The sequence below is a fragment of the Homo sapiens genome, chromosome 19, assembly GCF_000001405.40.
Source record: "Homo sapiens chromosome 19, GRCh38.p14 Primary Assembly".
Classification (NCBI taxonomy): domain Eukaryota; kingdom Metazoa; phylum Chordata; class Mammalia; order Primates; family Hominidae; genus Homo; species Homo sapiens.
Genome location: NC_000019.10, coordinates 4466048 through 4490969, shown reverse-complemented (window position 1 = coordinate 4490969; position 24922 = coordinate 4466048). Strand labels below are relative to the sequence as shown.

Below are 24922 nucleotides of genomic sequence, written 5' to 3'. Positions count from 1 at the left end.
TGTGGTGGCGTATGCCTGTAATCCCACCTACACAGGAGGCCGAGGCAGGATAATCGCTTGAACCTGGGAGGCAGAGGTTGCGGTGAGCCGAGATTGCGCCATCACACTCCAGCCTGGGTGACAAGAGTGAAACTCCATCCCCCACCCGCCAAAAAAAAAAAAGAGAAAAAAAAGAAATAATCCTTCCTTGGCTCAGAAACCCCTCATATACTACAGGTATTTTTTCCAAATTCTCTCTGTTCTTTGCATTTTCCAAGTTATCTACTATAAATATGGCTTATCATTTTAGAATCAGAAAATAATACAAAGTACACGTGACTCTATCAAAAGAATTTGCTGCTAGAATCTGGTCCTTTGTTTCTACACCCAAATAGTGAGAAATGGTCAAAAGGCAGGACAGAGAATATACCCAGGAGAATGGAACACACACATCTGCACAAAACTCTGTACAGAAACGTTCACGGCAGCCTGATCTGGAATGGCCCAAAAGTGGAAACAACCCAAATGGCCAGCGACATGTGGATCAACACACCGTGTTCCCTCCACACACCGGAATCTGACCCGGCCAGGAAAAGGAAGGGAGGCAGCCAGGCGCGGTGGCTCACGCCTGTCATCCCAGCACTCTGGGAGGCCGAGGCAGGCTGATCAGGAGGTCAGGAGTTCGAGACCAGCCTGGCCAACATGGAGAAACCCCGTCTCTACCAAAAACACAAAATTAGCCGGACGTGGTAGCGGGCCCCTGTAATCCCAGTTACTCAGGAGGCTGAGGCAAAAGAATTGCTTGAACCCGGGAGGTGGAGGATGCAGTGAGCAGAGATCATGCCATTGCACTCCAGCCTGGGCGACAGAACTAGAGTCCGTCTCAAAATAAATAAATAAATGAAACGAATGGAGCTGACCCGGGCTGCAGTGCGGATGCACCCTGAGGACGTCACGCTTGGTGAAGGAAGGCGGACACAAAGGCTATGCAGTGTGTGACCCCATTTCTATGAAATGCCCAGGACAGGCCCCTCCACAGAGGCAGGAAGGGGATGTGTGGGTGCCAGGGGCCAGAGGAGGGGATGCGGAGGATCAGCTGATGGGGACCAGGTTTCTTTTTGGGGTGACGGAAATCTCCTGGAATAATGGTAATGGTTGCACAATTCCGTGAACACACTAAAAACCACTGAGGTGTATATTCAGGAAGGATGAATCTCATGGTGTATGGACTATAACTCAATTTTTTTTAAATGCATACTGAAAAACAATTATATTAAAGAAAGGGACCAGGCCAGGCACCATGGCTAACGCCTGTAATCCCAGCACTTTGGGAGGCCGAAGCGGGCGGATCATGAGGTCAGGAGATCAAGACCAGCCTGGCCAACATGGTGAAACCCTGTCTCTACTAAAATACGAAAAATTAGCCGGGCGTGGTGGTGGATGCCTGTAATCTCAGCTACTTCGGAGGCTGAAGCAGGGGAATCACTTGAACCCAGGAGGTGGAGATTGCAGTGAGCTGAGATCGTGCCACCGCACTCCAGCCTGGCAACAGAATGAGACTCCGTCTCAAAAAAAAAAAAATATGGTGGTGGTGCCCATAATCCCAGCTACTGGGGAGGCTCAGGCAGGATAATTGCTGGAACCCAGTGGCAGAGGGTGCAGTGAGCCAAGATCGTGCCACTGCACTCCCGCCTGGGTGACAGAGGGAACTCCATCTCAAAAAAAAAAAAAGAAAGGTGGCCAGGCGCAGTGGCTCAAGACTGTAATCCCAGCACTTTGAGAGACCGAGGCAGGCAGATCACCTGAGGTCAGGAGTTCAAGACCAACTTGGGGACCTGGTGAATCCCCGTCTCTAACAAAAATACAAAAATTAGCCAAGTGCGGTGGCAGGTGCCTGTAATCCCAGCTACTAGGGAGGCTGAGGCAGAAGAATTGCTTGAACCTGGGAGGCGGAGGTTGCAGCGAGTCGAGATCACGCCACTGCACTCCAGCCTGGGCGACAGAGTAAGACCTTGTCTCAAAAAAAAAAAAAAAAAAAGGGCAGGAGAGCAAGCTGCCAGGCGAGACATCAGGGCAAGGGGATGAAGGGCCAGCCCACCTTGGTCCTCCCCTACCTTTAGCGCAGGCGTCTTCCTCTTCAGGCCACTGTTGTCGCTACTCTTGTCTGAGTCTGAGTCGCTCTCCATCCTGTCGCTGGCAGCTGTGGCGGTTACCGCTGTGACGGCCATGACCCCCCGGTCCTCATCGTCCTCGTCAGCGTCACTGCCGTCGGCGGGGTTGGCCTCGGGGGCCTCGCTGTCGGAGGAGCTCACTGGCTGTGGGAGTCGGGGCAGAGAACGCGCGTCACCACCAGTCGTGGGTGGATTTCCCCATCAGGACTATGACCCAGAGGACGGCAACCACATGCGGGATCCTGAATGTCAGGCGTGTTGTCTCCTGGCTTTACAAATGGGGAAACCGAGGCCCAGAAGAGCCGAAGAACGAAGGCAGGAGAGTGAGATGGATTCGTGTATGGTGGGCACTAGGGTCGGGCCGCGGGCTTCAGGGTTAAACCTGGGGCAAATGACTTCAACCCTCTGTGCTTCAGTGACCACTTCTGGGCAATGGGGATGGCTCAGTTTTGACCTCAGAGGCCTGTGACCAGGAAAGCATGGAAGTGGGAGGTGGAGCACCTAAGACAGTGCCGAGACCATGTCAAGAGGTCCAGAAATGGCTGCCCTGGCCGGGCGCGGAGGCTCACGCCTATAATCCCAGCACTTTGGGAGGCTGCAGCAGGCAGATCACCTGAGGTCAGGTGTTCGAGACCAACCTGGCCAACATGGCAAAACCCTGTCTCTACTAAAAATACAAAAATTAGATGGGTGTGGTGGTGGGCGCCTGTAATCCCAGCTACTCAGGAGGCCGAGGCAGGAGAATCACTTGAACCCACGAGGTGGAGGTTGCAGTGAGCCGAGATCACGCCACTGCACTCCAGCCTGGGCAACAGAGTGAGACTCTGTCTCAAAAAAATAAAAAAAGAAAAGAAATGGTTCCTTTTTTTTTTTTTTAAGTCATTCAATTATCAGGAGGAAGAAGCCAAGCTAGGACAAGACCTCTGGGCTTCTACCATCCAGGCACTGCTATTTCTCCTACACTCAAAATGCCCGCTCAGGCAGTGACAGCCACAGAAATCACAAACACCTATCTGATGCTTCTTATGTGCCAGGCACGTGACCGGGTCACACACTGAGCCAACGTTTGCTGAGCAGTCATGAGTGTCGGGCACTGGGCCGGGGGCATCAAGAACACAGAAGTGACCGTGGCATCTCCCTTGCCCCTGGGAGCTGGTTTTCTAGCGGGAGACCCTGAACATTGCCATTTAAACACAGACAATTCCAAATCGTGGTGACAGGCAGGAAGAAAACACGGGCGTATGGTTGTAAGGATTCAGAGGGGAGTAGGGCTGGTGGCTCACGCCTGTAATCCCAGCACTTTGCGAGGCCAAGGCAGAAGGATCACTTGAGCCCAGGAGTTCAAGACCAGCCTGGGCAACATGGCGAAACCCCCTCTCTACAAAAGATGCACATATTAGCAAGGTGTGGCGGTGTGGGCCTGCGGTCCCAGCTGCTTAAGGGGCTGAGGCAGGAGGATCGCTTGAGCCTAGGAGGCAGAGGTTTCAGTGAGCTATGATCACACCACTGCACTCCAGACTGAGTGATAGAGCAAGACCCCGTTTGTAAGAGAGAACCCGGGTGCGGTGGCTCACGCCTGTCATTCCAGCACTTTGGGAGGCCGCGGTGGGTGGAACACGAGGTCAGGAGTTTAAGACCTGCCTGGCCAAGATGGTGAAACCCTGTCTCTACTAAAAATACAAAAAAAATTAGCCAGGCGTGGTGGCGGGCGCCTGTAATCCCAGCTACTCGGGAGGCTGAGGCAGAGAATTGCTTGAACCCAGGAAGCAGAGGTTGCAGTGAGCCGAGATCACACCACTGCACTCCTGCCTGGGTGACAGAGCGAGACTCCGTCTCAAAAAAAAAAAGAGAGAGAGAGGAGAGTGTTTAGCACTGGGTGATCGAGGAGGCCCCTCGGAGGATGTGACATTTTTACAGAGGAGTTGTCAGAAGCATGGGAAGGGGTAGGAGCTAGCGGCGTTCCAGAGAGCAGGAATGGCACCAGTGAAGGTCCCCTTGGGAACCAGAAGAAGCTGACATATACCCATATGGGGCACAGAGAAGCGGGTGGAGATGGTGAAGAGGAGGATGAAGAGTTAGGCCGTGGGTGGCTCATGCTTGTGGGAGGAAAATGTATGAGCGCCAGGTGTATTTTTTGTATTTTTAGTAGAGACAGGGTTTCACCATGTTGACCAGGATGATCTCAATCTCTTGACCTCGTGATCCACCCGCCTCAGCCTCCCAAAGTGCTGGGATTACAGGAGTGAGCCACCGTGCTTGGCAGAGATTGCGATTTTTCCTTTTTTTTTTTTTTTGAGATGGAATTTCGCTCTTGTTGCCCAGGCTGGAGTGCAATGGCATGATCTCGGCCCACCATAACCTCCGCCTCCCGGGTTCAAGCAATTCTCCTGCCTCAGCCCCATTACTCATTCATTCAGTGATGATCATGAGACACCTGCTAGGTCCTCCAACAAACATCATGACACACCTGCTATGTGCCCAGCTCTGTGCTGGGCACTGGGGATAGAAACAGCTAAAACGCAGTCCCTGCTGTCAGGGAGCTCATGGTCTACCGGGGAGACAGACAAGTCCACGCAGTTACAACAAGCTCAAGCTGTGCTGCCACAGCTCCCAGCACAGGCACCAAGCAGCACACAGGCCAGCCTTGCCAGCGTGGAACACCTGACCGAGTGATTGCCCGTCACTTCTTTTCTAAATAACTGCTTTTTTTTAAGAAGACAGAGAGAGATTGAGTTTTCGTGGTTGTTGTTTTTTTTTTTTTTTTTTTGAGACGGGGTCTTACTCTGTCACCCAGGCTGGAGTGCAGTGGCGCGATCACGACTCACTGCAGCCTCAACTTCCTGGGCTCAGGTGATCCTCCCACCTCAGCCTCCTGAGCAGCTGAAACTACAGGTTTGCACCACCACACCTGGCTAACGTTTTTGTATTTTTTTTTTGTAGACATGGGGTTTCACCATGTTGCCCAGGCTGGTCTCAAACTCCTGGGCTTAAGCAATCCTCCCACCTTGGCCTCCCAAGCTGCTGGGATTACAGGTGTGAGCTACCGCACCCCACGAGATTGAGATTTTTTTTTTTTTTGAGACGGAGTCTCGCTCTGTCGCCCAGGCTGGAGGGCAGTGGTGCCATCTCGGTTCACTGCAAGCTCCGCCTGCTGGGTTCACGCCATTCTCCTGCCTCAGCCTCCCAAGTAGCTGGGACTACAGGCACCCGCCACCACGCCTGGCTAATTTTTTTTGTATTTTTTTAGTTGAGACGTGGTTTCACTGTGTTAGCCAGGATGGTCTCAATCTCCTGACCTCGTGATCCACCCACCTCGGCCTCCCAAAGTGCTGAGATTACAGGTGTGAGCCACCACGCCTGGCCAAAACTGAGATTTTTAAAAGCCACATTCTCTGAAAAAAACCCAAATGTCCGTTAACTGATAAACAAACGTGGTATAACAATAGGATAGAATATGACTTGGCCATGAAAAGAAACGAGGCTCTGACCCAGGCCACAGCATGGATGAACCTTGAGGATGCCACGCTCAGCTGACAGAAGTGAGACACAAAAGGCCACACAGTGTGTGATTCCATTTCTATGAAATGTCCAGGACAGGCCCATCCAGAGAGATAGAAGGTGGATCCATGGTTGCCTGAGGCTTGAGGGGAGAAGAGAATTGGGGGGATACCTAGCAGGTAGAGGATTCCTTTGTGAAGCGTTGAAAATATCCTGGGCCAGGCGCAGTGGCTCATGCCTGTAATCCCAGCACTTTGGGAGGCCAAGGCAGGTGGATCATAAGCTCAGGAGATGGAGACCATCCTGGCTAACACAGTGAAACCCTGTCTCTACTAAAAAATACAAAAAATTGGCCGGGCACGGTGGCTCATGCCTGTAATCCCAGCACTTTGGGAGGCCGAGGCGGGCAGATCACGAGGTCAGGAGATCGAGACCATCCTTGCTAACATGGTGAAACCCCGCCTCTACTAAAAATACAAAAAATTAGCTGGGCATGGTGGCGGGTGCCTGTAGTCCCAGCAACTCGGGAGGCTGAGGCAGGAGAATGGCGTGAACCCAGGAGGCGGAGTTTGCAGTGAGCTGAGATTGTGCCACTACACTCCAGCCTGGATGACAGAGCAAGACTCCGTGTCAAAAAAAAAAAAAAAAAAAAAAATTAGCCAGGCGTGATGGCGGGTGCCTGTAGTCCCATCTACTCAGGAGGCTGAGGCAGGAGAATGGTGTGAACCCGGGAGGTGGAGCTTGCAGTGAGCCGAGATCGCACCACTGCACTCCAGCCTGGGCAACAGAGCGAAGACTCTGTCTCAAAAAAAAAGAAAATATCCTGGAATTAGCAAGAATGGTACACTGAGAATGTACTAGAAGCTACTGTACGGTATACTCTTAAATGATTAAAATGGTGAAGTTATCTCGATGGGAAAAAAAATAATAATAAAACAGGCCGGGCGTGGTGGCTCACGCCTATAATCCCAGCACTTTGGTAGGCCGAGGCAGGTGGATCACCTGAGGTCAGGAGTTCGAGACCAGCCTGGCCAAGATGGCCAAATGCTGTCTCTACTAAAAATACAAAAATTAGCCGGGCCTGGTGGCAGGCGCCTGTAGTCCCAGCTACTGAGGAGGCTGAGGCACGAGAATCACTTGAACCTGGGAGGCAGAGATTGCAGTGAGCTGAAATCACACCACTGCACTCCAGCCTGGGTGACAGACACTGTCTCAAAAAAAAAAAAAAAAAAAGGCCGGGTGCAGTGGCTCACGCCTGTAATCCCAACACTTTGGGAGGCCAAGGCAGGCAGATCACGAGGTCAGGAGATCAAGACCATCCTGGCTAACACAATGAAACTCCATCTCTACTAAAAATACAAAGAATTAGCTGGGCGTGGTGGCAGGTGCCTGTAGTCCCAGCTACTCAGGAGGCTGAGGCAGGAGAATCGCTTGAACACGAGAGGCAGAGGTTGCAGTGAGCCCAGATAGCGTCACTGCACTCCAGCTTAGGAGACAGAGCAAGACTGTCTCAAAAAAAAAAAAAAAAAAAAAATCATGAAACAATTAAGTCCCATTCTCCTGGTGTGATGACCAAAATGGCGTGTGACAGGCTGGAGTGGGGCACGCATGGTGTCCAGGAGAGAGCAAGGTGGAGGAGATAAGGGTGTGAGAATGGGTGAGAGGCATGTCACGGGGCTCGCGGGAGACGAGGCCAGGAAGGACAGGCAGAGTAAGGCCCACGTTTGTGACCGGGTGTTGCGGCCGGGCAAGAGGGAGCAGGGAGTACACGGTGCAGGGCTGGGCGGATGCTGCAGGCGAGGCCAGCGTCTGAGTAGAAATGCCCGGACAGAATGGAAGCATGGCCTGAGGAATGAGGGCGTCAGCGCTGGTCAAGAGGGGGGGCCAGGAGGAGGGAACCACAGGAGGGAACCTCGGCCCTTCCTCAGTTTCCCGGCTCCCTCCAGGCTTAGCCTGGTCCTCCCGCGCCGGGAGGAGAGGCTGGGAGCCCACAGCAGGCGCACACCAGCCTCCGTGCGCACAGCCGCAGGCTAGCGGCCCCCAATCAGCACACAAGGAAAACGAGAACCGGGTGTGGTGAAGCGTCACCGCTCGGCCCGAGCACGTTTTGTCTCCCTTGTGTCTTCGTGGCCCAAGCGACAGGGCCCTGTCTGTGTAATTTTTGACAAGATTAAAAAGGGTAATACTAAGTAGGTCAGGCCGCAAACGGAGAACGCTGAGAGTAATAACGCTCTCGCGGCCAATCTCGATCACGCCTCTCCACAGAGCCTTTGGGGAAGGGCTCGCGTACCTGGGGTTTCTCTTTGGAGCATCCCTGGTAAGGAGACAAGCGCTGGGGGTGGGGAGTAGCAGCTCAGAGAATGAGGAGCCCCGGGCTCCTTCCTGGTCGCTCCCTCCACCCAGCCCCGCCCCTGACCCAACCCTGATGCCCCAGGATCTTCCACAGGAGGAGCTGGTGAGTGCCACGAACCCAGGAGCCACCGGCAGTTATAGGACTTATCAATGCCCCATGTAACCGGTGGGCATGACCAGCCTGATTCTGCAGATGAGGAAAAAAGGCAGGGAGAGGTCAAGTAACAGCTCAGGATCACACAGCGAGTAACTGCAGATCTGAGATGAAAGCACGAGCAGGTCTTGGCCTCGAAGCCTGGGTCATAGCCACTCCTCATTAAAAATCTTTCCTTTAGCAGGGCCCGTGGTTTACTCCTGTAATCCCGGCAAATTGGGAGGCCAAGGAAGGAGGATCACTTGAGCCCAGGAATTCAAGACCAGCCTAGGCAACAAAGTGTTGCCTGTCTCTATGAAAAAAATAATGGCTGGGCACGGTGGCTCACGCCTATAATCCCAGCACTTGGGGAGGCCGATAGGGGTGGATCATAAGGTCAGGAGTTCGAGATCAGCCTGGCCAATATGGTGAAACCCCATCTCTACTAAAAATACAAAAATTAGCTGGGTGTGGTGATGTGCGCCTGTAGTCCCGGCTACTTGGGAGGCTGAGACAGGAGAATCACTTGAACTTGGGAGGTGGAGCTTGCAGTGAGCCGAGATGATGCCACTGCACTCCAGCCTGGGCAACAGAGCGAGACTCCATCTCAAAAAAAAAAAGAAAGAAAGAAAAAACAAGGCCAGGGCGCAGTAAGCCACACTTGTAATTCCAGCACTGTGGGAGGCTGAGGCAGGAGAATGGCGCGAACCTGGGAGGTGGAGCTTGCAGTGAACCGAGATCGCGCCACTGCACTCCAGCCTCGGCAACAGAGCGAGACTCCATCTCAAAAAAAAAAAAAAAAAAAAAAAAGGCCAAAGCCAGCCAACTTCCAGTCCCCCCGGCTGAGAGTGAGGGGAACAGCTCATTTCTGTAGCTGTCTTGGAGGATCAGGGCAGGGGGTGTGACTAAATTGGAAAAGGGAAGGTCAAATCCAGCTTTGCCTCTCTGTTCCCAAATATCCCCTCCACCATCCAGTGAGCGCTTCCTAAGTGTCGATGTGCAATTTCTCACCGGACTCTCCCAGGAGCCCGCTGAGGGGTCAGCACTACCAAATCCTCTGTTTTAGATGAGGAAACTGAGGGCCGGGCACGGTGGCTCATGCCTGTAATCCCAGCACTTTGGGAGGCCAAGGAAGGAGGACTGCCTGAGGTCAAGAGTTCGAGACCAGCCTGGCCAACATAGTGAAATCTCTACTAAAAAATACAAAAATTGGCCGGGCGCGGTGGCTCAAGCCTGTAATCCCAGCACTTTGGGATGCCGAGTTGGGTGGATCACAAGGTCAGGAGATCGAGACCATCCTGGATAACATGGTGAAACCCCGTCTCTACTAAAAATACAAAAAATTAAGGCCGGGCGCGGTGGCTCAAGCCTGTAATCCCAGCACTTTGAGAGGCCGAGGCGGGCGGATCACGAGGTCGGGAGATCGAGACCATCCTGGCTAACATGGTGAAACCCCGTCTCTACTAAAAATATAAAAAATTAGCCAGGAGTGGTGGCGGGCGCCTGTAGTCCCAGCTACTCGGGAGGCTGAGGCAGGAGAATAGCATGAATCAAGGAGGTGGAGGTTGCAGTGAGCCAAGATCGCGCCACTGCACTCCAGCCTGGGCGACAGAGCAAGACTCCATCACAAAAAAAAAAAAAAAAAAAATTAGCCAGGCGTGGTGGGGGACGCCTGTAGTCCCAGCTACTCGGGAGGCTGAGGCAGGAGAATAGCGTGAACCCAGGAGGCGGAGCTTGTAGTGAGCAGAGACCGCACCACTGCACTCCAGCCTGGGCGACAGAGTGAGACTCTTGTCTCAAAAAAAAAAAAAAATTAGCCGGGTTTGGTGGTGGATGCCCGTAATCCCACCTACTAGGGAGGCCAAAGCAGGAGAATAGCTTGAACCCGGGAGGTGGAGGTTGCAGTGAGCCAAGATCATGCCACTGCACTCCAGCCTGGGCAACAGAGTGAGACTCAGTCTAAAAAAATAAAAAATAATAAAAAATAAGGAAACTGAGGCTCACAGAGGGGATGTCAATGGTCAAGATTCACAGTGAGCACAGGGCAGAGCCAGGCCTGGCTCCCAGGTCCACCCGCTCATACAACAGGCTCTTGGCCCCAGCTCCCACTTTTTTTTTGAGACGGAGTCTCACTCTATCCCCCAGGCTGGAGTACAATGGCACAATCTCAGCCCACTGCAACCTCCACCTCCCAAGTTCAAGTGATTGTCCTGCCTCAGCCTCCCGAGTAGCTGGGATCACAGGCACCCACCGCCATGCCCAGCTAATTTTTGCATTTTTAGTAGAGATGGGGTTTCACCCCATTGGCCAGGCTGATCTCAAACTCCTGACCTCAGGTGATCCACCTGCCTCGGCCTCCCAAAGTGCTGGGATTACAGGTGTGAGCCACTACGCCTCCCAACTCCCACTTCTAAGAGGTTATTCCCCGGGACTCCCATCCTCCAGGGCCTGCCCCTGGCTTGTACCAGCCAGAAGGAAAAGAATGCCAGCCTGGGAGCTGGGGGGCCAGGGAGTCAGGGGATCTGGGAGTTGGGGGACCTGCAAGCTGGGGGCCCTGGTTTCTGACCCCAGCTCAGCTCTGTTGCTCACAAGCTTGAGAACCCTGGACAGGTCTCTCTACCTCTTCATCTACCAAGCAACAAGGATGTATTAGGTGGGATCCTTCTAGGTCAAATGTCTAGAGACATTTTGGTCATCAAGATTACCAGTGGGCGCTCCTTGCATGGAGTGAGCAGAGGCCAGAGATGCTGCTCAACACCCTGCAATGCCCAGGACAGACCCTATGCCAGAGAATGACCTGGCCCCAACTGTCACTGCTATACTCTCTTATAAGGTACTGATGCTGAGAAACCGTGGCCTGGGTCTACAAGGCTTCAGACACCAGCTGGGTCCCTCTGGGCATCTAAGCAAATTTTTTTTTTTTTTTTTTTTTAGACAGAGTCTCATTCTGTCGCCCAGGCTGGAGTGCAGTGGCAGCATCTCAGCTCACTGCAACTTCCGCCTCCCGGGTTCAAGAGATTCCCCGGCCTCAGCCTGTAGAGTAGCTGGGATTACAGGTGCCCACCACCACATCTGGGTAATTTTTATATTTTTGTAGAGGCAGGGTTTCACTGTGTTGGCCAGGCTGGTCTGACCTCCTGACCTCAGGTGACCCACCCTCTTGGCCTCCCAAAGTGCTGGGATTACAGGTGTAAGCGTGGCTAATTTTTGTAGTTTGGGTAGAGGCGGGGTTTCTTTCTTTCTTTTTTTTTTTTTTTAGATGGAATCTCGCTGTGTCGCCCAGGCTGGAGTGCAGTGGTGGGAGCTCAGCTCACTGCAAGCTCCGCCTCCCGGGTTCATGCCATTCTCCTGCTTCAGCCTCCAGAGTAGCTGGGACTACAGGTGCCACGCCCGGCTAACTTTCTGTATTTTTTTTTTAGTAGAGACAGGGTTTCACCAAGTTAGCCAGGATGGTCTCGATCACCTGACCTTGTGATCTGCCCGCCTCGGCCTCCCAAAGTGCTGGGATTACAGGCATGAGCCACGGCACCCGGCCTAATTTTTGTATTTTTGTAGAGACAGGGTTTCATTCTGTTGGCCAGTCTGATCTTGACATCCTGACCTCAGGTGACCCCTCCTCAGTCTCCCAAAGTGCTGGGATTTCAGGCGTGAGCCCGGCTAATCTTTGTAGTTTTGGTAGAATGGGGTTTCGCCATGTTGAACAGGCTGGTCTGGAACTCCTGACCTGAAGTGATCTGCCCCCTTGGCCTCCCACAGTGCTGAGGTTACAGGCGTGAGCCACCATGCCTGGCCCATCTGAGCAACCCCTTGAGTCTCATTCTGCTCATCTACTCAATGGAAAAAATACTTCCCGCTGTTGGGCGCGGTGGCTCACGCCTGTAATCCCAGCACTTTGGGAGGCTGAGGCGGGCAGATCATGAGGTCAGGAGTTCGAGACCAGCCTGGTCAATATGGTGAAACCCGTCTCTACTAAAAATACAAAAAATTAGCCGGGCGTGGTGGCACATGCCTGTAGTCCCAGCTACTTGGGAGGCTGAGGCAGAAGAAGAATCACTTAAACCCAGGAGACAGAGGTTGCAGTGAGCCGAGGTCGCACCACTGCACTCCAGCCTGGGCGAGAGAGTGAGACACCGTCTGAAAAAAAAAAACCAACCAACCAACTACCCACCTGGGCCACTCTGAGGATTACTGTGAGGACCAAAAGGCGATGCAAGTGGAACCAGGCCAAGCTGCCATGTTTCACCTACTGGCTTCGCAAGGGGATGGGACCCAGGCCTTCCTGTCCGCTCTTGGTGGCATTAGTAGTTGCGCTAAGGCTGTTAAAAGAATGAGCCTGGGCTGGGTGTGGTGGCTCACACCTGTAATCCCAGCACTTTGGAGGCCAAGGTGGGCGGATTACCTGAGGTCAGGAGTTCAAGACCAGCCTGACCAACATGGTGAAACATCGTCTCTACTAAAAATACAAAATTAGCCAGGCATGGTAGTGGGCGCCCATAGTCCCAGCTACTCGGGAGGCTGAGGCAGGAGAATCGCTTGAACCCGGGAGGCGGAGGTTGCAATTAGCCAAGACCACACCACTGCACTCCAGCCTGGGCGACAGAGCGAGACTCCATCAAAACAAAAAACAAAAAAAAAAAAACAGCAGCATCCGGGACAAAACTTGGCAAGAAAAACTTCAGGGCTCCCATCTTACACAATTAAATCTATGCCTCTAGGAAAATGGCCCAGGAATCTGCATCTTTTTTTTTTTTTTTTTTGAGACAGAGTCTCGTTCTGTTGCCCAGGCTGGAGTACAGTGGCACAATCCTGGCTCACTGCAACTTCTCCCTCCCGCGTTGAAGCAATTCTCCTGCCTCAGCCTCCCGAGTAGCTGGGATTATAGGCGCCTGCCACCACGCCCAGCTAATTTTTGTATTTTTAGTAGATACTGGGTTTCACCATCTTGGCCAAGCTGGTCTTGAACTCCTGACTTCGTGATCCACCAGCCACAGCCTCCCAAAGTGCTGGGATTACAGGTGTGAGCCACAGTGCCCAGCCAGGAATCTGCATCTTAAACACACGTTCCATCTAGAAGCATAGATGGGCCAGAGAAGCTAAGAGCAGCAGTGGCCTCAACTAAAGCTACTTCTCATCTTGGGGGATCTGTACAGGGCTTGTTTAATTTCCTTTCCTCAAAGACAGGCCTCTATATAATGCTTAGCAAGCTGTAGGTGTCCAATAAATATTAAATGGTGTGATGATTCACCAGGAGGTAATGAGCTCAGGACGGAACCAAAGAGAACTTGACCTGGGGCCAGAAAAAGATCTCCTGAAACAGCTACCTTGAAGGATTTCTGACCTATCCTTCCAGGCTGGGGACAGGCACAGCGTGAGGAAAGATAGCAAGTATGAAACCAGGGAAACCTCAGTCTCCTAGACACACCATGGGTGTTAAAGTAAAATACCCTCAGCATGCAACATCGGTGGGCCCCGGCCCCCTGAGAAGGGGCTGCCAGATCCTCGGCGCTCAAGGGACATCCGTTGAGTGAATCCTCAATTCTGGACCATGAGCTCCCAGAAGGCAAGGACTGTGCCTGACTCATCCCTGTTCCTGGTCCCCAGTGCGGCACGTGTGCGTGGCAGGTGTCACCACCGAAACGTCTGCGGATCCTGGAGCAAATGCTCACAAGCACCACCCAGCCCAGGCCGAAACAAAGGAGAGGCACAGACAGGCCACCTCAAGACCCCAGGTTCTCAAACAGGACCAGGAACCACAAAGAGACTGCATCCTCCACTCGCAAAAGCCAAAGGCTGGGCCCCTCCTGCCTTGCTCCACTCAGACCACCTCGGATGTGCTTTTCTTCCTTAATGGCCAAGTTTTCCCTAGCTTGTGGTCAGTTCCCTGGGCCTCCCCGCCAAATTCATGCCCCCCCAGCTAAGCCTGGGCTACTAACCCCGGCCCCCAGCCTGTCACAGAAACCTCAAAAGCAGTGTGGTTAAAGCAGAGGAAAGAACCCCAGCCCAGTTCCCCCACTCCCCACCTCACCCCAGAATACTCAGAGTAAGGCACCTTTCTCCCATCCTTCCACTGCCTTTTAGCCATTTGCCTTCCGCTTTTCTAAATTCCTTCCTTTCCCTGACTATTTCCAGACACTCATTTGCCAATGAGATGTCATCTGATTCTTGGTGTTTTTTTCCACCTGACTGAGAACGCTCACATCTACACACTACAGACTTTTCACTCCTCTAAAATCTGGCAGTAACAGTGAAAGAGGGGGCTCTTCTCAAAAGAAAAAAACGTCTTTTCCTAAGAAAATAAAAGGTTTTATGAGAGCTATGATAACACTCTGTTAGAAATTCGGGCTGGCCAAGCGCAGTGGCTCACCCCTGCAACCCCAACACTTTGGGAGGCCGAGGCGGGTGGATCATCTGAGTTCAGGAGTTCGAGACCAGCCTGGCCAACATGGTGAAACCCTGTCTCTACCAAAAATACAAAAATTAGCTGGGTGTGGTGGTGGGCACCTGTAATCCCAGCAACTCGGGCGTCTGAGGCAGCAGAGTCAGTTGGACCCGGAGGCAGAGGTTGCAGTGAGCTGAGATCACGCCATTGCACTCCAGCCTGGGCAACAGAGCAAGACTCTGTCTCAAAAAAAAAAAAAAAAAAAAAAGGCTGGGCACAGTGGCTCATGCCTGTAATCCCAGCACTTTGGGAGGCTGAGGCGGGTGGATCACGAAGTCAGGAGATTGAGACCATCCTGGCTAACACAGTGAAACCCTGTCTCTATTAAAAATACAAAAAAATTAGCCGGGTGTGGTGGCGGGCACCTGTAGTCCCAGCTACTCAGGAGGCTGAGGCAGGAGAATGGCGGGAATACAGGAGGCGGAGCTTGCAGTGAGCCGAGATCGCGCCACTGCACTCCATCCTGGACAACAGAGCGAGACTCTGTCTCAAAAAAAAAAAAAAAAGAAACTTGGACTGATTCTACAGCAGGGGTTCTCGCCAGGGCTGATTCTATCCCGTTCCCCTCCACCCAGGGGACACTGGGCAATGACTGGGGACATCTGTCATCACCATGAATGGGGTGGGGGTGGCCTTGGCACTGAGTAGGTGGAGGCCAGGGACACTGCTCAGCACCTGCAGGGCCCAGAATGCCCCACCACAGGGAACGATCGAGCCCCATGTGTCCACAGTGCCCAGGGGAGAGACCCTAACTGGAGGCCCCTTCTTGCATCAGTAGCGCGCTTCACACTGGCTCTCCACCCCGGGTACTCACCGGAGGGGCGCTGTAGCTGGCGTGGGGGTTGTTCTGGATCTCCCACAGCCCTTCATTGAAGCCTTTCCTCTTGTTGGGCTTCCCGTACTTGTCTTTACATTTGTCGTAGGGGAACAGGTCCTTGGGTCCCAGGAAGGCTCTGGAGAAGGGAAACGGGGGCCAGTCCCAGGTGAGTGAGGCCACCCCGGGAGGCACCAGAGGAGAAAACCAAGCCCCAGAAGGGGACACTTACGTTTCGTGTGTGCCAAAGAAAAAGATGGGGTACTTGTTGGGTGGGGGCTTCACGGCGCCATCCGCGATGTCGTCGATCTGCAGTGAGAGGCCAGTGAGGGGGTGGCTTTACCCACTGACCCAGGAAATCACCGAGAAATCAGCCAAGTTACTTGGGGCAAATCACGCTGGGAGGAGGGGAGCCTTCAACCCAGGAAGCAGCAGCCCCTTCCCGATGGGAAGCTGCATTCTTCTGTGTACCCTTCACTGCAAAGCTGTGCCCCACCCAGAGAGCTCTCCCCCTACCCCAGGGACGGAGCTGGCCCCAGGGCAGGTGCTCCACCTGAGCAAAGCCAGATCCGGCCCTCTGAAGCAACCAGGGGGTGGGGCCAAGCTCAGCGTCTATGGACTCCCAGGACCTTTCCTGGGGACCCCTCCCGCAAAGAGGGGCTCACGGGCGGTCCCCCAGAGGATGCAGCTGGCAGCTCCAAGGATGCAGAGGGTGGGGGGTGGGCTACAAGAAACGGCCCTGAGCATCCAGGAAGTCCCACCCTCTCCCTGCAGGCCCATGGGCTCCGGCAGCTGTCAGTCACCTCCCCACAGGAGACTAACAGCCCCTTCACTTCCAATCAGGTGCTTGGAAACGTTTGGGGCTAGGAGAGCAGGCTGGAGAAGGGGGGACGGGGGAGAGAAAAGCGAGTGCTCTGGGAAGAAGAGAGCTGGGAAAGGGAGGGAAGTGCCTATAAAGTTGCATTGCTCTGGTCTCCCCCAAGAAAGTCAGCGCGAGCACAGCAGGCTGGAGTGGCTTCTCCCCTCCCAATGCATTCCTTCCCCATCCACGTCTCCAGCTTCTAGGGGGCTCCCGATCTTCCCTGCCCCACTCACCCAGCTTCCTTCTCGCTTGGGTCTCCTCAGAGCTACTTTATCAGAGTCCCTGGCCCCTGGGCTCGGCCATGGGCCGCCAGGCCCAGCATCCCTCTCCCGCCAGAAGCATCCTAAATTCAGTCCACCCGAGGACCAGCCCGGCATGCCTCACAGCCCCGCTTCTCCCAAGACCCGCCCACGGTCCTCCGAGGCCCACCCATCCCAGCGGCATTGCCAGCTTCGGACCTGGGCTGGTTCTGGTCCAGAGCACCGTTTGGTGTCCCCCTCCACAGCCCCTCCCTGCTGCCCCAGCCTTCCACCCCCAGTGCCAAATTCCTCAGTCCTGCCCGGCAAATTCCACCAACCTCAGCCCTGGGAGACTCAGCCCTAAGACCTGGGGATGACAATAGCCTGGGGTCCCTGCTTCCCGCTGGCCTGTACCTCTCAGGGCCTGGAACTCACCCCCTCCACACCTGGGACTCCAAGGTGCGGAATATCCTTCAGGCCAGGACACCTGGGACTATCCAGGTCGTCGGGACCCCAGCTTCCACCAAAGGGGCATCCAAGGTCCCCTCGGCCAGCCCCCTTCCCTCAGAAGCGCTCCCACTCCCTGGGCCCGGGCCTGTCTCCATTTCAAGCATTGGGGTTGGACCACCCCACCCTCAAGTCCCTCCAAAACCAGCTTCTACATCCTCCTCCCCACAGGGGACCAATCCCCAGGGTCCCCCAACAGTCCCGATGCCAACTTCATTCTAAGGTCCAGTTCCCCGAGTCCCAGTGACCCCGTGAACAGAGCCCCGAGCCCCATTCCCCCACCCCCAGCCCCTCACTCAGAGGTCCCAGCTTCCCTTAGCCTTGACCCTCAACCTTCCCCCCTGACTGCCTCCTCCAACCCTGGACCCCTAGCACATGGCCCTCGGCCCCCCAGCCCCTCAAAACTGGGCTTCTCCAGGACCCACAAGGGAGTGCTTCAGCCCCCATATCTGACCCCAAATCTCAAGTTCCGCAGTTCTGCTCAAACTTGAACCTTGAGCCCTCAGGCCTGGGATCCCCAGGCCCTCAGGTGAGGGTCCCTCAGGTCCCAGACCCTCCCAGACACCCTGCGCACGGCTCCCTGAGGCACCCTGGACACCCCCAGACACACGAGGCGTGGCTCCCTCTGGGCCAGGGCAACCCCAGATCCCCATGGTGCAGCTCCCTCAGGCACAGAAGCCCCAGACCCCCAGAGCGCAGCTTCCTCAGGCCCAGGACCCCCAGACCATTGGCGCCGCAGCTCCTTCAGGCCCTGGACACCCCCCAGATCCCCACGGCGCAGCTCCCTCAGGTCCAGGACCGCCATTCCCCCAGAGTGAGAATTTATCAGGCCCCAGACCCCCAGGGCACCGCTTCCTCGGGCCCGGGACCCCCAGACCGTCGGCGCGCGGCTCTTTCAGGCCCCAAACACCCCCAAACCCCCAAGGTGCGACTCCCTCGGGCCCAGGATACCCCCAGACTCCCAGGGAGCGACTCTCTGAGCCCCAAAACCCTCATACACCAAGGGCGAGAGTCTCTCAGGCCGCAGACACCCTCAGAACCCCTAGGCGCGGCCCCCTGAGGCCCAGGGCCCCCAGACCCCGGGGCGCGGCTCCTGCAGGGCTTGGACACCCCCAGAACCCCAGGACGCAGCTCCCTGAGGCCGAGGACCCCCAGACCCCGGGAGGGGCTCCTGCAGGCCCAGACGGCGGGTCCTGCAGGATCCGAACACCACCAGACCACAAGAACGCGGCTCCCTGCAGCCCAGGACCCCCAGGCCCCGAGGGCGGGGCTCCCTGAGGCCCAGGATCCCTAGACCCCGGGGCGCGGCTCCGGCAGGCCCCGGACAACCCCAGACCCCTAGGGCGCAGCTCCCTGCGGCCCAGGACCCCCAGACCCCCAGGGCGGGGCCGCTGCGGGTCTCGGACACCCCCAGACCCCATGAACCCCAGACCCCCGGGGCGCAGCTCCTTCAGGCCCAGGACAACCCCGGCCCTCCAGTGCCCGCCTCCGGCCCGGGGCCCCCGCTGCCCCCCCCCCCCCCCCCACCGGCCCCATCTCCCGCGCGGCCTCACCCTGGCAGGCCAGTGAGGGTAGCCCTTCATCTTAGCGAACACCAAGTCCCCGGGCTTGAAGGCGTGTGGCATGCTGACGGCGAGAGGCCCAGGCCGCGGAAAGCGGCTGCAGCGGCGGTAGCGGCTGCGGCGGCGGCGGCGGCGGCAGCGGGAGGCGAAGCCGGGGGCGGGAGCGGGACGCCGAGGGGGCGGGGGAGGCTGTCTGGGCAGCCTGCCGACGCGCGCTTATTGGGCGTTGCGCCAACGGAAGTTCAGCCCTCCGGCCGTCACGGGCCGGCAAAGCCGTCGATCAGGACCACGTGCAGGGGACAGAGAAGGGAGGCGACCAATAAGAACAGAGGTTGGAGCACAGCAGTTAACGGGATTGGATAACGGACAGACCCAAGGGGCGTAACCCAGAGACTCTAATGGGAGGTTATGGGAGGTGAAAGGGAAAGGTGGGAGGAGACGAACAGACGCTCTAAGGGAGTGAAGGGGTGGAGCTTAAGGGAAAGAGGCAGGACATAGACCTCCACAAGAGAAGGGGATATAAGGAGGGCAGAACATTGGATACCGCAGAAAAGAAGGCCAATCACTTAACGCAATGGGCGGGTCATTGACAGCCTCTCCCGCTCAGGAGGAGAGGCTTAAAGTAGATATGCAAGCCATTGGATACCACAAGAGAAGCGCCTCAAGGTAGGGAGCAGGCATTGGCCATCACAAGAGGCGGGGCTTCAGCGGGAACGTCGGCCATTGGCTATCGAAAGAAGAGCGATACAACATAAAACAGGGACGGGCGATTGCCAGCTCGAGGAGGCGGGACTTAGAGGAAGGGGCAGGCTCCGGGGGAGCTCTTAGTATAAACAGCCACAAAATGCACAAAATAGTTATTTCTTCACTTAGTTAAAAACTTAACTGAGTACCTACTATATGCCAGGGCCCCAAAACGCCACACAGACCTATTCATTCATTCAAGAAAAATGTACTGAATACCGTGGGGCCGAGTCACTTGATTGTCCTGGGCTTCGCTCTCTGCACTTGGAAGATGGGGCCCATAATGATTGTGAGGACCCTGCTCTAGACTGAGCCCGGCAACAGGAAATACAGGAAGTATTAGAAGCTATAACTCGGCCGGACGCGATGGCTCACGGCTGTAACCCCGGCACTTTGAGAGGACGAAGCGGGCGGATCACGAGGTCAGGAGTTTGAGACCAAGCCTGGCCAACATGGTGAAACCCCGTCTCTACTAAAAATACAAAAATTAGCTGGGCGTGGTGGCACGCACCTATACCAGCTACTCAGGAAGCTGAGGCAGGAGAATCACTCGAACCCAGGAGCGGGGGGTTGCAGTAAGCCGAGATCGCGCCACTGCACTCCAGACTGGGTGACAGAGCAGAAAAAAAAAAGCTATAACTCTACCTTCCGGCAGGGCGTGGTGGCTCACGCCTGTAATCCCAGCACTTTGGGAGGCCGAGGTGGGTGGATCACGAGGTCAGGAGATCGAGACCATCCTGGCTAACATAGTGAAACCCCGTCTCGACTAAAAATACAAAAAAAATAGCTAGGCGTGGTGGCAGGCGCCTGTAGTCCCAGCTACTAGGGAGGCTGAGGCAGGAGAATGGCCTGACCCCGGGAGGCGGAGCTTGCAGTGAGCCGAGATCGTGCCACTGCACTCCAGCCTGGGCGACAGCGCGAGACTCTGTCTCAAAAAAAAAACAAAAACAAAAAACAAAACTCTACCTTCCAGGAATCAAGTATAACAGGGCCAAGAAATGTTAAGTTTTAAAATTTGTTGATGTTGCTGTGTTTTGTTTTGTTTTTTGTAATTAGGATCCATGGTAAGAACTAAAATGAACCAGGGTGCTTGAGGAAAAAAAGCTGAATAATGGAGACGACTTCTTCTCTCCTGGGGGATCACAGAGGGTTACTGGATGAAGTGAGTTTAACCAGACACTGGGAGAATGAATAGAAGTTGGACATGATAGTGAGGCGAGCCCTGGGAGGGCATGAGGAGCAGAGGGAAGAGCAAAAACAAGCGTCTGATCCTCACTTAAGGTCAGGAGTACGAGACCAGCCTGGCCAACATGGTGAAATCCCATCTCTAGAAAAAATACAAAAATTAGCCGGGCGTGGTGGTGGGCGCCTATACTCCTAGCTACTTGGGAGGCTGAGGCAGGATAATCACTTGAACCTGGGAGGCGGAGGGTGCAGTGAGCCGAGATCACGCCGTTACACTACAACCTGGGTGACAGAGCGAGACTCCGTTGCAAAAAACAAACGAGACCGGGCGCGGTGGCTCACGCCTGTAATCCCAACACTTTGAGAGGCCGAGGCGGGTAGATCACTTGAAGTCAGGAGTTTGAGACCACCCTGGCCAACATGGTGAAACCGCATCTCTACTAAAAATACAAAAAATTAGCCAGGCGTGGTGGCAGGCGCCTGTAATTCCAGCTACTCGGGAGGCTGAGGCACGAGAATCACTTGAACCCGGGAAGCGGAGGTTGCAGTGAGCCAAGATCATGCCACTGCACTCCAGCCTGGGTGACAGAGCGAGACTTTGATTCAAAAAAAAAAAGAAAAGAAAAGAAAAAGCAAACAAGCAAAAACAAGAACAACAACAGCAACAACAAAAAACCCATCTGATCCTAGGATGACTGTGTGTGAGTAGGGGAAACAGATAAAGCTGGAGGGCTGGAGGGGTCCGTAGAGGACCTATCACAATACATTACAAACATAAATGAGAAGTTTGGGTTTTATTTTAACTTCTTGGGAAACTATTGGGGGGATCTGATCAGAGGATACAAAGAGAGTATTTTATTCTCAAAAAACATCCCTATGCATGTGAAATATGGATCAACAAAGACCATTTCTTTAAAACTGAAACGTAAGGCCTGGCATGGCATCTCACACCAGTAATCCCAGCACGACTGAGGTGGAAAATTCGCTTGAGCCCAGGAGTTCGAGACCAGCCTGAGCAACATGGTTAAACCCCATCTCTACAAAAAATATAAAAATCAGTTGGGCATGATCCGCACACTTCTACTCTGAGCTACTCAGGAGGCTGAGGAATGAGGATCGAGCCCAGGGAGGCAATGGTTGCAGTGAGCTGAGATTGCACCACTGCACTCCATCCTGGGCAACAGAGCTAGACCCTGTTTCAAAAAAATACAATAGGCCGGGCGCGGTGGCTCACGCCTGTAATCCCAGCACTTTGGGAGGCTGAGGTGGGCAGATCACGAAGTCAGGAGTTTGAGACCAGGGCAGCCAACATAGTGAAACCCCATGTCTACTGAAAAACAAAAATTAGCTGGGCATGATGGTGTGTGCCTGTAGTCCCAGCTACTCAGGAGACTGAGGCAGGGAGAATCGCTTGAACCCGGAGGGGGCGGTTGCAGTGAGCCGAGATTGCGCCACTGCACTGCAGCTTGGGCAACAGAGTTAGACTTCGTCTCAAAAAAATAAATAAATAAAATAAAAATTAAACATAGGCCAGGTGCCGCGGCTTATGCGTGTAATCCCAGCACTTTGGGAGGCCGAGGCAGGTGGATCACGATGTCAGGAGATCGAGATCATCCTGGCTAACACAGTGAAACCCCATCTCTACTAAAAATACAAAAAATTAGCCGGGCGTGGTGGCGGGCACCTGCAGTCCCAGCTACTTGGGAGGCTGAGGCAGGAGAATGGTGTGAACCCGGGAGGCGGAGCTTGCAGTGAGCCGAGATGGCGCCATTGCACTCCAGCCTGGGCGACAGAGCGAGACTCTGTCTCAAAAAAAAAAAAAAAAAAAAAAAGAGTTTGAGACCAGCCTAGCCAACATGGTGAAACTTTGTCTCTACTAAAAATACCAAAAAAATTGGCCAGGTGTGATGGCACATTCCTGCAATCCCAACTACTCGGGAAGCTGAGGCAGGAGGATTGCTTGAACCCAAGAGGGAGAGGTTGCAGTGAGCCGAGATTGTGCTAATACACTCCAGTCTGGGCAATAGAGCAAGACTCTGTCTGAAAACAAGAACAAAAAGAAAATACATAGACTTACCATATGACCCAGCAATTCCATTCCTACCTGCTAGGGACTGAATTTTGTACCGTCCTCTCAAATGTGTATGTGGAAGCACAGACCTCCCATGGAACCATATTGGAGATATGGCCTTTAAGAAGGCTGACCAGGCGCAGTCACTGACGCCTGTAATCCCAGCATTTTTGGAGGCCAAGGCAGGCAGATCACCTGAGGTTAGGAGCTTGAGGCTAGTCTGGCCAACATGGTAAAACCCTGTCTCTACTAAAAATACAAAAAATTAGCCTGGAGTGGTGGTGTGTGCCACCATTTTGGGCAGGCTGGTCTTGAACTCCTGACCTCAGGTGATCTGCCTGCCTCGGCCTCCCAAAGTGAGCCACAAGCGTGATCCACTGGTGTGAGCCACCAAGCCCAGCCTGAGGTGTCTTTTTAGGATGATGCAAGCTTTCTAAATTTAGATTGTGATGATGGTTGTACAATTCTGTAAATACATGATAAACTTCATTGAATTATATACTGAAAGAGGTGAAATTGATGGTATGTAAGTTATATATCAGTAAAGCTGGGTGACCACGGTAGCTGACACCTGTAATCCTAGCACTTGAGGCGGGAGGATTGTTTGAGGCCAGGAGTTTGAGACCACCCTGGCCAACATAGCAAGACTGTCCGTATTAAAAATAAATCACGCCTGTAATCTCAGCACTTTGGGAGGCTGAGGCAGGTGGATCACGAGGGCAGGAGTTCAAAACCAGCCTGGCCAAGATGGTGAAACCCCGTCTCTACTAAAAATACAAAAATTAGCCAGGCGTGGTGGCAGGCGCCTGTAATCCCAGCTACTCAGAAGGCTGAGGCAGGAAAATTGCTTGAACCCAGGAGGCTGAGGTTGCAGTGAGCCGAGATGGTGCCACTGCACTCCAGACTGGGCAACAGAGAGACTCTGTCTCAAAAAATATATATATATATTGTATGTAGATAAATATATATATAATATATATTATATATAATATTTTTATATAATATATATTATATATTATATAATATATATTTTTATATAAATATATATTAAATATTTATATATTATTATGTTATATATATTTATATATTATATATTAATATATATTTATATATTGTATATATTATATATTATATATAATACATATATTAAATATATAATATATAATATATTATATATGTGTGTTTATATATTAGATATTACATATGTGTGTATATATAATATATGTGTATATATACACACATATATAATATATGTGTATATATAATATACATATATGTATATATGTATATATATAATATATATGTATATATAATATAAATGTATATATAACATGTATATATATAATATATGTATATATAATATATATGTGTATGTATAATATATATGTATATATATGTGTGTATATATTATATATGTGTATATATAATATATATATATAATATATGTGTGTATATATTATATATGTGTGTGTATATATATATATATAAACAGACGGGGCATGGTGGCTCACACCTATAATCCCAATACTTTGGGAGGCCAAGGCCAGCAGATCACGAGGTCAGGAGTTCAAGATCAGCCTGACCAACATGGTGAAACCCTATCTCTACTAAAAATACAAAAAAATTAGCTGGGCGTGGTGGCGCACGCTGTAATCCCAGCTACTCAGGAGGCTGAGGCGGGAGAATCACTTGAACCTGGGAGGCGGAAGTTGCAGTGAGCCGAGATCGTGCCACTGCACTCCAGCCTGGGCTACAGAGTGAGACTCCATCTCAAAAAATAAATAAAGCCTTTTTTTTTTTTTTTTGAAACAGTCTCACTCTGTTGCCCAGGCTGGAGTGCAGTGGCACATCTCGGCGCACTGCAAGCTCCGCCTCCCATGTTCACGCTATTCTCCCGTCTTAGCCTCCCAACTAGCTGGGACTAAAGGCGCCCGCCACCACGCCCGGCTAATTTTTTCTATTTTTTAGTAGAGACGGGGTTTTACCGTGTTAGCCAAGATGGTCTCGATCTCCTGACCTTCTGATCTGCCCGCCTTGGCCTCCCAAAGTGCTGGGATTACAGATGTGAGCCACTGCACCTGGCCAAAGCCATTTTTTTTTTTAAAAAGATCCTTTAGCCTGCTACATTGAGAAGGGCTATAGTTAGAATTTCCAGTTAAAATTCAGGATGTCAAGTTACATCTGAAGAGCAGATACACATCACATGATTTTGTTTGTTTTAGAGACAGCGTCTCACTTATGTCACCCAAGGTGATCTAGAACATCAGAGTTCAAGAGATCCTCACATTTCAGTCTCCCAAATTACTGGGATTACAGGCATGAGCCACAACATCTGGCTGAATGATTTCTTAGTATAAATATCTCCC

At 53.0% G+C, this 24922-nt stretch overlaps 1 protein-coding gene across 7 annotated transcripts in view, besides 6 other annotated features; it reads right to left on the bottom strand.

Moving 5' to 3' along the window:
• HDGFL2 (HDGF like 2) overlaps positions 1-18673 on the bottom strand; it is a 29911-nt gene extending 11238 nt beyond the window's left edge. For 4 of the 7 annotated variants that reach the window (NM_001001520.3, NM_032631.4, XM_047439547.1 and 1 more), the window contains exons 1-4: positions 18548-18673; positions 15619-15695; positions 15387-15525; positions 2094-2294 (exon numbers count right to left, since the gene is read on the bottom strand). In NM_001001520.3, the coding sequence (NP_001001520.1) occupies positions 2094-2294; positions 15387-15525; positions 15619-15695; positions 18548-18619 (489 nt within the window). In that variant the 5' untranslated portion in view covers positions 18620-18673. Of the gene's footprint in view, positions 1-2093; positions 2295-15386; positions 15526-15618; positions 15696-16481; positions 17017-18547 lie in introns of those variants that run through there. The other 3 variants (NM_001348169.2, XM_011528377.4, XM_011528376.4) reach the window with 1 other exon arrangement.
• Positions 15809-16758: an enhancer, noted in NCBI's record as "H3K4me1 hESC enhancer chr19:4474209-4475158 (GRCh37/hg19 assembly coordinates)". NCBI's record gives its function as "activates a minimal SCP1, AML or CMV promoter by ChIP-STARR-seq in naive and primed H9 embryonic stem cells {active_cell/tissue: H9 hESC(naive and primed)}" and the evidence as "EXISTENCE:reporter gene assay evidence [ECO:0000049][PMID:30033119]".
• Positions 16317-16456: an enhancer, noted in NCBI's record as "active region_13777". NCBI's record gives its function as "activates an Ori minimal core promoter by ATAC-STARR-seq in GM12878 lymphoblastoid cells {active_cell/tissue: GM12878}" and the evidence as "EXISTENCE:reporter gene assay evidence [ECO:0000049][PMID:35858748]".
• Positions 18478-18537: a silencer, noted in NCBI's record as "silent region_9893". NCBI's record gives its function as "represses an Ori minimal core promoter by ATAC-STARR-seq in GM12878 lymphoblastoid cells {active_cell/tissue: GM12878}" and the evidence as "EXISTENCE:reporter gene assay evidence [ECO:0000049][PMID:35858748]".
• Positions 18568-18747: a silencer, noted in NCBI's record as "silent region_9892". NCBI's record gives its function as "represses an Ori minimal core promoter by ATAC-STARR-seq in GM12878 lymphoblastoid cells {active_cell/tissue: GM12878}" and the evidence as "EXISTENCE:reporter gene assay evidence [ECO:0000049][PMID:35858748]".
• Positions 19248-19597: an enhancer, noted in NCBI's record as "active region_13776". NCBI's record gives its function as "activates an Ori minimal core promoter by ATAC-STARR-seq in GM12878 lymphoblastoid cells {active_cell/tissue: GM12878}" and the evidence as "EXISTENCE:reporter gene assay evidence [ECO:0000049][PMID:35858748]".
• Positions 19858-20027: an enhancer, noted in NCBI's record as "active region_13775". NCBI's record gives its function as "activates an Ori minimal core promoter by ATAC-STARR-seq in GM12878 lymphoblastoid cells {active_cell/tissue: GM12878}" and the evidence as "EXISTENCE:reporter gene assay evidence [ECO:0000049][PMID:35858748]".